General features: G+C 46.5%; 1 protein-coding gene across 2 annotated transcripts, besides 1 other annotated feature; it reads left to right on the forward strand.

The window, feature by feature from the left end:
• On the forward strand, positions 2,101-6,132 carry KPRP (keratinocyte proline rich protein). 2 transcript variants are annotated; one of them, XM_047421164.1, is made up of 3 exons: positions 2,101-2,135; positions 2,817-2,887; positions 3,637-6,132. In XM_047421164.1, the coding sequence occupies exon 3, from the start codon at positions 3,665-3,667 to the stop codon at positions 5,402-5,404; it is 1,740 nt and encodes a 579-aa protein (XP_047277120.1). In that variant the 5' UTR covers positions 2,101-2,135; positions 2,817-2,887; positions 3,637-3,664; the 3' UTR covers positions 5,405-6,132. The 2 variants fall into 2 exon arrangements, with proteins under 2 accessions (XP_047277120.1, NP_001020402.1); NM_001025231.3 differs by lacking the exon at positions 2,817-2,887.
• Positions 11,812-12,001: a silencer, noted in NCBI's record as "fragment chr1:152740212-152740401 (GRCh37/hg19 assembly coordinates)". NCBI's record gives its function as "represses an EF-1alpha promoter that drives an FKBP-Casp9 reporter gene in an ReSE screen in HepG2 liver carcinoma cells {active_cell/tissue: HepG2}" and the evidence as "EXISTENCE:reporter gene assay evidence [ECO:0000049][PMID:32094911]".

The raw sequence follows: 12,456 nt of genomic DNA on the forward strand, positions 1-12,456 counted from the left end.
GCTGTTATCTCCCCTCTTCTTCCTCCTCCTCCTCCTTTCCATTTTAGAAGTAGATAATGAATCTGAGGCTCATGGAGACTAAGTAGCTTTCATACCATTAGTAAGTTACTAGAGCTCAGATTCAACCCAAAATATGTCTAAATCCAAATAAAGTCTCCGCTCATAAGCTTGGTCAGAATCTTTTAAGATTCTGTTGAAAGGGGTTGAAGGGTGATATAAACAAGTGAAATAATCCAGGTAGAAGGATTATTTCACTTTTAATTTTACCAAAGGAAAATAAAAGCACAAGTAAAATAACATAAGGAAACTTACACTGAATTACATTGTAGATATAGAAAAGAATAACGGAAAATTATAGAACGGCAAAATATTTACCTGTCGTAGTCCAAATGTGCCACTATAAAGGAGTATGTGAGGCCGGATAATTTAGAAAAGAAAAAAAAAAGAGGCTTATTGGGCTCACATTTCTGTAGGCTGAACAAGAAGCATGGCATCAGCATCGGCTTCTAGTGAGGGACTCAGGCCACCTCCACTCATGGTAGAAAGTGAAGGGGAGCAGGCTGTGCAGACATCACATGAAGAGAGAAGAAGCACGAGAGGGGTGAGGGAGGTGCCAGGCTCTTTTTAACAACCAGCTCTTGCAGGAACAAATAGAGAGAGACCTTAACCTCCACCCCTACCAGAGAGGGCATTAATCTATTCATGAGGTATCCTCCCCCATAACCCAAACTTCTGCTATTAGGCTCCATCTCCAACACTGGGGGTCAAATTTCAGCATGAGGTTTGGAAGGGATAAACACGCAAACTATAGCAATGCCCTATCTAAGGTGGGCAGCTGCTAATCAGGATAATGGAAGGTATGTTCAACTATGCTAGATCTTTTTATTTCAGAAGAAAATCTGAATTTCTGGAATCTTTAATAAAATCTGCCTATTTTTAAATACTAACAATTAATGACAGTATTATGAGGGAAAACATAAAGAGCTGTCCATTTTGACTCTATGTGGCTCACAGAGTACCAGATTATTATTTCTGCCCTGCACTGTGCTGCCTTTAAGGGCTACTCCACAGCACTACCTGCCTGGTGCTGCCTTCAAATACTGCTCTGCAGCATTGACTGAGCACCTGTTGTGCAGGCATCCACTTGCTCAGCTCAGGATGGGGAGGCAGCAGGCACCCATGACTCAGCAGTGCCTGTGGCTTATGGCCAGCATTTACCCTGAGTGGATTTGGGATAGTTTAAACATCATTCTTGGATGAATTTTTTTTTATTATACTTTAAGTTTTAGGGTACATATGCACAACGTGCAGGTTTGTTACATATGTATACACGTGCCATGTTGGTGTGCTGCACCCATTAACTCGTCATTTAGCATTAAGTATATCTCCTAATGCTATCCCTCCCCCCTCCCCCCACCCCACAACCGTCCCCAGTGTGTGATGTTCCCCTTCCTGTGTCCGTGTGTTCTCATTGTTCAATTCCCACCTATGAGTGAGAACACGCGGTGTTTGGTTTTTTGCCTTAATCCTCACAACAATCAGGAAGGAAGATTTAATTATCTCTCTTTTGCAGAAGAGTAATTTGATACTCAGATTGTTTATAAAGGTTGCATAGCTATAAGTACACGGCCTGGGATGTTAGACTCACCTTTGGCCCCATGGGCTCATCCTTCTATAGAGTTGCCTCTATCTTTGAAGTAACTTAAATTACTTCAGGTTAGAAAACACTTCCTCTTTTATGTCACTCTGGTAAGAATCTGAAGCAAAGTGGAAGTTGGCAGATACAATCATCTTTTAGGAGAGAAGATACCTTTGTCACTCCTCATCTCCCGACCATCAGGTCTTCTAGGGATGGAGGAGAAACTGTTAGGGCAATGAAGGAGGAAGAAAATAAGAATCTGCTATTCATAGTCCTGAGGCTTCAACACTAAGACAAGCCACTCCCACACTCTGTAGGTGACGGCAAGGGCAGGCACACAGGGAGGGAACCAGCTGCTGGAATGCCAGCCCGGTTGATGCACCAGGCGGATGCCAACCAGCTGTCTCATGGCCCAAGCCAGACCCAGAACCCTTTATATAAAGACAGCCCTCTTCCCAGATGCCTCAGCCTGAAGGACTGCTTGCCTGTGAGGAGGGTGAGTCTAGGAACTGGATCCTGGGATCGGGGTGGATGTGATGTTCAGGGGAGAGCCCAGGTTCACAGTCGTGAGGCACAAAGAAGGGAGAAGCTAGGCACCAGGGAGGGCGAGGGGTGCATTAACCTGAGGAGAAAAGTCTGGTGAGCTTTTAGGAGACAGAAGCATAGCTACAGAGTTTACGAGATGAGCTAGGGCTGTGAAGCTAGTGTATTTGCCTTTGATAACCCTGACCTTATCCTCAGGTACTATTTTCCCTCATGATCTTTCTGGAAAAGCCACATTAGCAATTTACACCTTATGAGCAAAGTTGTGTGTGGAAGGGTTACCTTCCCCAGGGAAATAGATATGTAGGTATTCTCTACAAATTGAAAATAGAAGGTTTGAACCCTCATCAGGAGCATTTGGGGAGCTTATTGAAAGACGGTTTGTTGGATGAGCCTGTTGTCAAATGATCTTGTTTTGCTGGTCAGTGGGCTGCCTGCACATAAACACGTGCATCTGACACAAGCAGACGAGTGAGGCTGCCCTGTGCTCTCCCCAGCTAAGCATGGTGTCAGGGTGTATGCCTGCAGCCCTCACGTTATGTTTGCAATGCCCCAGCTGCGTAGATCTTTAAGTATGGCAGAATGTCCGTCTTCTGATTAAGAACCTTGGACTTTCTGGCTTACTCCATCTTAGGTAACTCCACCTTGCCTCTAAGAAGAGCTGGGGAAAAACATTTCTGAGGCCTGCAGACTGTCACACTTCAGGTGATTAGCAACAGCAACCTGACTGGGCAAGTTGCCATGGTGGTCAGAGTCTTTCCAAGGCTGGTGTGTTTTGCATGGGCACACTTTGCACGTGTCATGTTTAAATGAATTTATTTCAAAACATTGTGTCATGTTTAAATGAATTTATTTCAAAACATTGTATCATGTTTAAATGAATTTATCTAAAAACATTGAATATAGAGAAACAAACATTTAATGTTGGGTTTGAGCTGCCCGCTTTCCAGTGAATGCTTTGACATTTTGTGAATGCAGATGGTGCTGAGTGCTTATTCTCATATGTACGTTCTTACATGTTTGCACATTTATGTGTACTGCCAGTGCACATGTGTGAGTAAATCCAAGCTCCTGTGGGAATGGAGTTTCCACTTTGGGCTATAGCCTTAGGAGCAAGTTGTTATCTCTACTTCCTGTAGGGCTGCTCAGACCACATTGGATGTGAGAAAGTGTGGAGACGAAAGGAGAATCCTTTTGTCATCAGTGCCCTCTTTTCTGGGCATTGGTAGGTCCACCCCCAGGGAGATCCTGGACATCTGCAACCCTGGATGTGCCCTTTGACAGACCCAGGGCAGGTCTAACAGATTAATCCTGGGTCGAACTAAGTCAGGACACTTGGATGAAAGTTGAGGGTGGAGGAAGAAAAGCTAGGGAAGATGCAGGGTGTCTTCCTCTAGGTCCTGGCACCCCCTCTCCAACTCTCACCCTCCTGACCCTGGTCTCTTTGCCCTCAGGTCACTCTTGACTGGCTGCATCAGGACCATGTGTGACCAGCAGCAGATCCAGTGCCGCCTGCCGCTCCAACAGTGCTGCGTCAAGGGTCCCTCCTTCTGCTCCTCTCAATCCCCCTTTGCCCAGAGCCAAGTGGTGGTTCAAGCCCCTTGTGAGATGCAAATTGTGGACTGCCCTGCATCATGCCCAGTTCAAGTTTGCCAGGTGTCAGACCAGGCTCCATGCCAGTCTCAGACCACACAGGTGAAGTGCCAGTCTAAGACCAAGCAGGTGAAGGGCCAGGCTCAATGTCAGTCTAAGACCACCCAGGTGAAGGGCCAGGCTGCATCCCAATCTCAAACTTCCTCTGTTCAAAGCCAGGCTCCATGCCAATCTGAGGTGTCCTACGTGCAGTGCGAAGCGTCACAACCTGTTCAGACTTGCTTCGTAGAATGTGCTCCAGTTTGTTATACAGAAACTTGTTATGTAGAATGCCCAGTCCAGAACTATGTACCCTGTCCAGCTCCTCAGCCTGTCCAGATGTATAGAGGGCGTCCTGCAGTGTGCCAGCCTCAGGGAAGATTCTCCACCCAGTGCCAGTATCAAGGCTCCTATAGCAGTTGTGGCCCCCAGTTTCAGTCAAGGGCTACCTGCAACAACTACACCCCCCAGTTCCAGTTGAGGCCTTCCTACAGCAGCTGTTTCCCTCAGTATCGGTCCCGGACTTCATTTAGTCCCTGTGTGCCCCAGTGCCAGACCCAGGGCTCCTATGGGAGCTTCACTGAACAGCACCGCTCTCGGAGCACCAGCAGATGCCTTCCTCCTCCTCGGCGGCTGCAGCTTTTCCCCCGCAGCTGTTCCCCACCAAGACGTTTTGAGCCCTGCTCCAGCAGCTACCTGCCACTAAGACCCTCTGAAGGTTTCCCTAACTACTGCACCCCACCCCGCCGCTCTGAACCCATATATAACAGTCGCTGTCCTCGCCGCCCCATTTCAAGCTGCTCTCAGAGACGTGGCCCCAAGTGCCGAATCGAGATTTCCTCCCCGTGCTGCCCCAGGCAGGTTCCCCCACAGAGGTGTCCTGTTGAGATTCCTCCCATCAGACGCCGCTCCCAGAGCTGTGGCCCGCAGCCCTCCTGGGGCGCCTCCTGCCCTGAGCTGAGGCCACACGTAGAGCCACGTCCACTCCCAAGCTTCTGTCCACCACGGCGTCTTGACCAGTGTCCAGAGTCACCACTGCAGCGATGTCCACCTCCTGCTCCACGTCCACGTCTGCGCCCAGAACCATGCATAAGTCTAGAACCACGCCCGCGTCCTCTACCACGACAACTTTCAGAACCTTGTTTGTATCCAGAACCACTTCCAGCACTACGTCCAACACCGCGGCCAGTTCCCCTTCCTCGCCCAGGGCAGTGTGAGATTCCAGAGCCACGTCCATGCCTGCAGCCCTGTGAGCACCCAGAGCCTTGTCCACGACCAGAGCCAATTCCCCTGCCGGCGCCCTGCCCAAGCCCGGAGCCCTGCAGGGAGACTTGGCGCAGCCCCAGCCCATGCTGGGGCCCAAATCCAGTTCCATACCCAGGAGACCTAGGCTGTCATGAGTCTAGTCCACACCGCCTAGACACCGAAGCTCCCTACTGTGGCCCATCCAGTTACAACCAGGGGCAAGAGAGTGGTGCTGGCTGTGGGCCTGGTGATGTGTTTCCAGAGCGGAGGGGTCAGGATGGCCATGGAGACCAAGGCAATGCCTTTGCTGGAGTGAAAGGGGAAGCAAAGAGTGCTTATTTTTAAAGGAAAGGTGACTGAGATAACCCTCTCTCCTGCTCTGAAAATGTTGTTCCTCCTATTCCACAATTTCCAGTACGCTCTTGTTTGAATCTCTCCAAAGATATTCAGAGACTCCCTATTACGAAGGTGATGTCCAAACTCCTTTGCCTATCATCCAAAGATCCACACCTGGGTCTCAGATGCCTCTCCAGCCTCACGTGTCACTCCTCGCCCGTACGCATCCTCGGCTCTAGCCAGACCAGTCTGGCCACTGGGCACAGCTTGGGTGTTCCCCAGGCCATACTTTAGATGTCCCTGCCTCCAAGCCTCTGCTCACTCTTCCCCACTCTGCCTGGACCACTTCTCTCCTCCTCCCCAGCTTCTGAAATCCACCCCATCTTTCAGTGCCTCTCCCTTGGAGCCTTCTTTGCTTGTTCCCACTCACAAGAACCTGTGCCGACTTCCTAGAACTCACTGCATCCCCCGCACTACTTGGTAACTGCCTGGTGACATCTCTTGAATTGTTATTTCACTTTGCAGGCATGTCTTCCTTATCTGCCCAACTAGGTTGTAAACTCCCAACTGAGTGGAGTCGGAGAATCTCTAAATCTCAGTGTCTATCCTGGGGCTGGCTGTTGCTTAGCAAGGCTTGTGGGTTGGCAGCTTGAACCATGTTCTGTCCTGATGCTCAACTGCAGGAACTGAGGTGAGAGGAGGCCATGTGACAATAAAGATCATTATGTACTCACTGCCTGAGTCCTGAGTCATTCCTGCTTTTATTCCTTGATTTGCTGAGATGAGGTTTTTATTGTTGCTATTTTAATTGTGATAGTAAAACACATGTAACATAAATTTTACCATCTTCACCATATTTAAGCATTCAGTTCAATGGCATTAAGTACATTCACATTGTTGTGCTACCAGCACCACCATCTGTCCACAGAACTCATCTCGCTGAATTAAATCTTCATCCATTAAATAATAACTCCTCATTCCTTGCTCCTTCTAGCCCCTAGCAACCACCATTTCTGTCTCTATCAACTTGACCATTCTAGGCAGCTCATATAAGTAGAAAAAGACATTATTTGTCCTTTTATGACTGGCTTACTCCACTTAGCATAATGTTCTCAAGGTTTATCCAAGTTGTAGCATGTGCCATAATCTCTTTCCTCTTCAAGGCTGACTGATATTCCATGGAATGTACATACTACATTTTGTTTATTTATTCATCAGTGGATGGATGGGCACTTAGGTTGCTTTCACCTTTTTTCTTGTAGTAAATAGTGTTGCAATGAACATGGGTATACAAATATTTCTGTGAATCCCTGATTTCAATTCTTATGGATAGATACCTGGAAGTGGGATCACTGGATCATAGGTAATTTTACTTTTAGTTTTTTGAGGAACCGCTATACTATCTTTCATAGTGACTACATAATTTTACATTCCCACCAACAGGGTACAAGTCCTAATTTCTCCACATCCTTGTCAACATGTGTTATTTTCTGTTCATTGTCTTGTTTTTGTAATAGCCATCTTGATGGATATGACATAGTATGAATTTTCATTTTAATTTATTACCTTTCTTCTTTAGTTTATTGTACCCATGGTGTGAGCTTTTTAAGCCTAGACCAAGTGGGTTGTCTTGTGAGTTTCCAATCTTCCCTCAGTGTCCTTGGCCCCAGATGGAAAGGATGAAGAAAAAGACAAGGGGATGAGGGAACAGGGAGAATAACTCTGCCCCCTGGTCTAGGAGTAAAGGACTTCAGGCCTGGCTTTGGTTAACTGGGTTTTGCCCAGCTCTAGGGCCACAGTCACAGCCCTGTTGCCTCTGGAACCAGAGGAAGGGAAGAATGAAGCACCTGGAGGCTCTCTGGGGATACTCCTCTTCTTCCAGAACTAGGCCGGGCATGGTGGCTCATGCCTGTAATCCCAGCACTTTGGGAGGCTGAGGAGGGCTGATCACCTGAGGTCAATAATTCGAGTCCAGCCTAACCAACATGGTGAAATCCCGTCTCTCTATTAAAAATACAAAAATTATCTGGGCGTGGTGACGTGCACCTGTAATCCCAGCTACTCAGGAGGTTGAGGCAAGAGAATTGCTTGAACCCAGGAGGCAGAGGTTGCAGTGAGCCGAGATCATGCCACTGCTCTCCAGCCTGGGCAACAGAGCAAGACTCCATCTCAAAAAAAAAAAAAAAAAGAACTAAATTATTTACTTTTCTTTCTGTTTTCTTTTATGGAACCATTTGAGTCTGACTCTGCATTCCTCAACTGGTCCCAGATTCCATTAGGCATGGGTGGTCTTGGCAGCATGAAGGTAAGGGCTGGAGGGGAAGAAGAGACAGAAGTGACTCTCCTCTCAGTCCTTGCAGGTGAGATGAACGCTGGGTGGGGATGTGGCTCTGGAGGATGAGGGTGCTGGAGGACAGGACCTCCCTCAGGGAGAGAGAATGAAAAAGCTCCACTTAGGAGGACAGCGGAGGGCAGCTCTGGCCCGGGCCTCTGAACGTCTGATCCATTGTCCTGCTCCTCACAGTCCATGCCCCAGAGGACCTCACAGCTACAGAGCCATAGTTGGGAAACAGATCCAGGGCCTGGCTCTGAGTATGTGTCTCCCTTGCCCAAGGGATCTAGTTCTGCCAGGCTGATGGTGGAGACTTCAGAAACCAACTAGTAGAACCCTGTGTCATATAAAGGAAAACTGAGGCCCTTCATGTGAAATCCATTCATTCATTTATTTGTTGGGCAATACTTATTGCTCGTCTGCTAGGATGGTCCTGGTTAGAGAGACAGACATAACCTTGTTTACTGTCAGTGCATAACCTAGTATACTGGTCCTCAAAATATGGTACCTGAACCAGCAGCATCGGCAACACCTAGGAACTTGTTAGCAATGCAAATGAAATGCATCACCCCAGACCTAATGAAGTAAAGACTCTGAGAGCAAGGCCCAGCAAGCTGTGTTTTAACCAGCTCTCCTAGTGCTGCTGATGCCCAGGAACATTTGGTCATCACTGGTTTGGTGAAATGCCATATGCAGATAGAATATTAATATACATATATAGTATATGTATATCTGTGTGCGTGTATACAGACACATATCTACATAACTATCCATCCTCTAATTCCCATAATATTCGGTCAGGCAGGCATTATAATTTTGCCCTTTTGCAGAATTAAAAACCTAAGCACTCAGGGTTTAAGCTCTTGCCCAAGCCATAGGGCCACTCGTGACTCCCAGTCTGCACTCTTTTCTACCACACATGGAACCTTTGATCTTAGTCACAGTCCCTGCCTCTTCCAAAGATCTTTCCTGTTTTAACCCAATTATTTTCCTAACACAATCTTGGAGTTCTCTCAATCACTGAATGGGTTATTTCAGTTCCACATCTGCCTCCTCTCTTAAAATCCAAGCTACTCTAGAGTTGAATTTGCTGTGTGGCAAATCCCCCAGGGGCTTGGCAGGGCCTGAATTTGGCCCCATAGAGCATCTCTAGGTTTCCATCACCCAGGCCTCTGGGTGGGAGTGAGGAGGGCAGGGTAGGGAGAGGCTTGGAAGCTCTAGTTTGGGAAGGGATTCTTGTTACATCTCTCCCATAGCCTCGAAAACACACTGCTAGACAAGGAACCCCTTGCCTGGGGATGCTTGGGGGCAGACCATTCACTCCCTCAAAATATTGAAGAAACATATAACTGGCTGTGAGAAAGTGGCATTCACTTCTAAGAAGTCCTGACCTCCCCCAGGTCTGGGCAGCAGGTCCCCATCGAGGATCTTTATTGAATGAGTGATGCTCTGTAGTCTGCACCATCCCCTGGGGATAGATTCTGGTTCCCAGAATGATGGTAGAATGGAGGGGTCTTTGGTTGGGCAAGCCTGGAGCTGAGCCAAGAAACCCCCAATGGCTTGGTGTTCTCCACCACCCAGGGCTATGCAGGAGCCAGCCCCCAGACCATTTCTACAGCCAGAGACAAACACCTCAGAGGAAAAAGGCACACAGGGGTGTGTGTCTGTTTTTCATGTTTCTTTTTGTGTGTCTGTCTGTGTGTCTAACTGTCTGCTTTGAAAGCTTGGAGCTTTTAAAATGCATTTGGCAGCAGGGGCTGTGACCTCAGAAGTATGCTTTAGGTTATCCTAAGTCCTTCAGCAATAGCTTTGATGATCCCTGCCATCTCTTCTACTCTCCACCATCCACCATTTCACTGATGACAGGCATCTTGGCTTTCTGACCTTTCCTTTTGTGTCAACCACTTGAACGAAACTTAAAGTGTCTCCAGGACCAAGGCTGAAGACCCAAAAGAGCAAAAGGGACCATTTATAAGGCCCTTCGATGTACTCAAAAACCCACCAGAGAGGCTCCTCTTCAAATCCCACACGGATGTTAGGCAGTGCACAGGTTGTGTAGCTTCTGTACCAGAGTCTGGTGAACTGTTGCTCAGAAGTGCCCATGAATTGGCCAAGTCACAAAGTGTAAGGCAGTGATCAGTCCAGACGTCCATGCCTGACATCCAGCCATGCTGCCTCAGAACTGGGGCCTGGCTCCCAGAGAAGGGGAGAACATGAGAGAGATTGGGCCTGAAGATCACGCTTCTCACTTTGGAATCCTGCCTACATTCTTCTGCAATTCTGTATCTTTCTTCTCTTTCTAAGCTTTCCACAGTGGGATCTTCACTGTAGAATGAAAGATGTTCTCAGAGGTTCCTTCCAGACCAGGTGGGTTATCTAAAATTCCTTTTTGTGGAAGGCAGTATGCTAGAGTGAAATTATCTGGGGTACTCAAAGACACAGAATCCCAGGATACATCCTAGAACTACTTAGCTTGAACTTCCAGAATGAAAATCGGGGACCTCCATTTGAGAATTATTCTGATCAATCAGAAGTGAAAACCATTTCTATAATGAATATCCAGGTGTGTGAGCTTACTCACTGCCTAGGAGGAGGGTTGAAAGTTGTACATATCTGGCCCCAGCATGTGTAGGATGTGGAAGTGGTGGTGAAGACAGAGCTGACTGTTAACTGGTTTCTTGTAGGAGGTTTTATGTAATTGTCCATGTGGGGACACAAATTATCTACCTCTTGGTCTAGAAGTACCTTAAGATGAAGGAATCTCTTTCTTTTCCACAATTAAATCCCCAACTTCACTGCCACCAAAAATCTCCCATACAGACATATGGGAGATGGGGGTCTAGCCATAGCATATCTCTCCTCTACCCAGGCATTACCTGGACATTAAGAGAAAGAAATTCCACATCCCACAGTTTGTCCTACACATTATAACACCCTTTAGTGAATCAACAAATACAACTGTTATGCATCAGAGAATAGCTCAGCTGTTCATATTAGAATCCATAGGTAGACAGCAGTAATGGGAACCATGAATTCTGGCATGGCATGAATGGATTCTAGAGGATCCACATGCCTATGCCTGAGACTAGTCAGGAAGACGGGGTGATGCCTGATGATCTATGTGCTTCTCATCACCAGAGACCATCCAGCTCATTCCTCCAAAAGATGGTGTTTCCTGTTCTGGAAGGCTAAGCTAGACCTATCTAGGGGCCTAGGAATAACCCAAGCTGTGCCAAATCTACCCATCACATCTTGTCATAGGAACCCTGAGCTAGATCCACACCTTTCCTCTATTCTCTAGTGCACGCCCATCAGGGAGGGAGGAAACCACTTATGAACTTGTGTCAACACATTCATTCACTTGACAAATATTTATTGAGGCTCTGCTGTCTTTCAGGAACTGGTATTGATCCTGGAGATACACTAGTGAGCAATGCAGACAATAATATAGTGAGAACTTCAATATGGGAGGCTCAGAGTACCATGGAAACCCACAAAGGGGGAAGTTTAGCAAGTCCAGGGCCTAAAGGAGGTAACTACAAGTCAGAGATGAGACAAATGAGTGGCAGTTAGCTGATGATGGAGGAGAGAGGGGAGTCTTCTCCCCTCTCAGAGATAACAGCAGGCATGCTATCAGCATCATTGACTTAGTGACAGACAGCCTGGTGAGGAGTAGGTCCTCATTAATTAAATATCCTTCCTGGTTCCTAACACTATATGGAAGTTTTATGCTGGTCCCAGGACTCCATTCTCAGCCCTGTTGTAATGAACTTTTTATCAGCACCTTGGGGAGAAGCTTGAAAAGAAACTGGCCTAAATTTCAGGTTACTTCAAGTCATGAAGGAGAATTGAAGAGTAAAATTCTGATTTAACATGGGCAAGAATAATGAATTTAATCTGACAAGACAAAACGTAATTAAAGTAAACATTAAGTTTTAATGTACATTAAAGATTAGCCACACTTGTAGAAGATGAGTGGGTATATGCACAGTTGCACACATGAAGAAATTTTGGTTGATTAGAATCTTAGTGTGGGCCAAGAGTGAGATTGTGCCAAACGGCAATGAACTCCTGTTCTGAATAGCTCTGTGTGATGGGGTCATTCTGCTTGGCACAGATATGCGCACACCTGAGCACTGTGGTCAGCTCAGGTCAAATGTGTGGGGCTGGAGGATAGTGATCTACTATGTGCCAGCCACCATCTGAGGTGGGAAATCCTTCCTCATGCTCACAACTTGGAAAGGTGACATCATTCACCCCATTTTACAGACATTAGAAGACACAAAATCTAGAGAGGTTAACTAGCTTATTTGGTCACACATCTAAGACGTGATAGTGATGGAATTCAAGCCTAGGCTAATCTTGTTCCAAAACTTGATCTGCCTCCCTGTGGAAGGAAGAGTAACACTATGTTTTGAAGGGACTAGCACGCTTCCATCTTGCATTATTTATAGTGCTTTCACTTAGAAAAAGAATCAGCTTTTTTGGTAAAACAAAGAGTTCAGTTTCAATGCATGGAAACTGTAAGAAGATTCTGGCTAGAAATAAAGAAAAAGTAATAGAACTGTTTGGAAATGAAATATATTGTTCATCCATGCATTTAACAAACATTTAGTCATTGTTAATTGAATATTTATTATGTGTCAGACAGTATTTTGGATGATTGGGATAAATCAGTGAACAAAACAAGATCCTTATTTTCAAGGAGTTTAAATTCTAGCAGAGAAAA

Source organism: Homo sapiens, chromosome 1 (genome assembly GCF_000001405.40).
Source record: "Homo sapiens chromosome 1, GRCh38.p14 Primary Assembly".
Taxonomy (NCBI): Eukaryota; Metazoa; Chordata; class Mammalia; order Primates; family Hominidae; genus Homo; species Homo sapiens.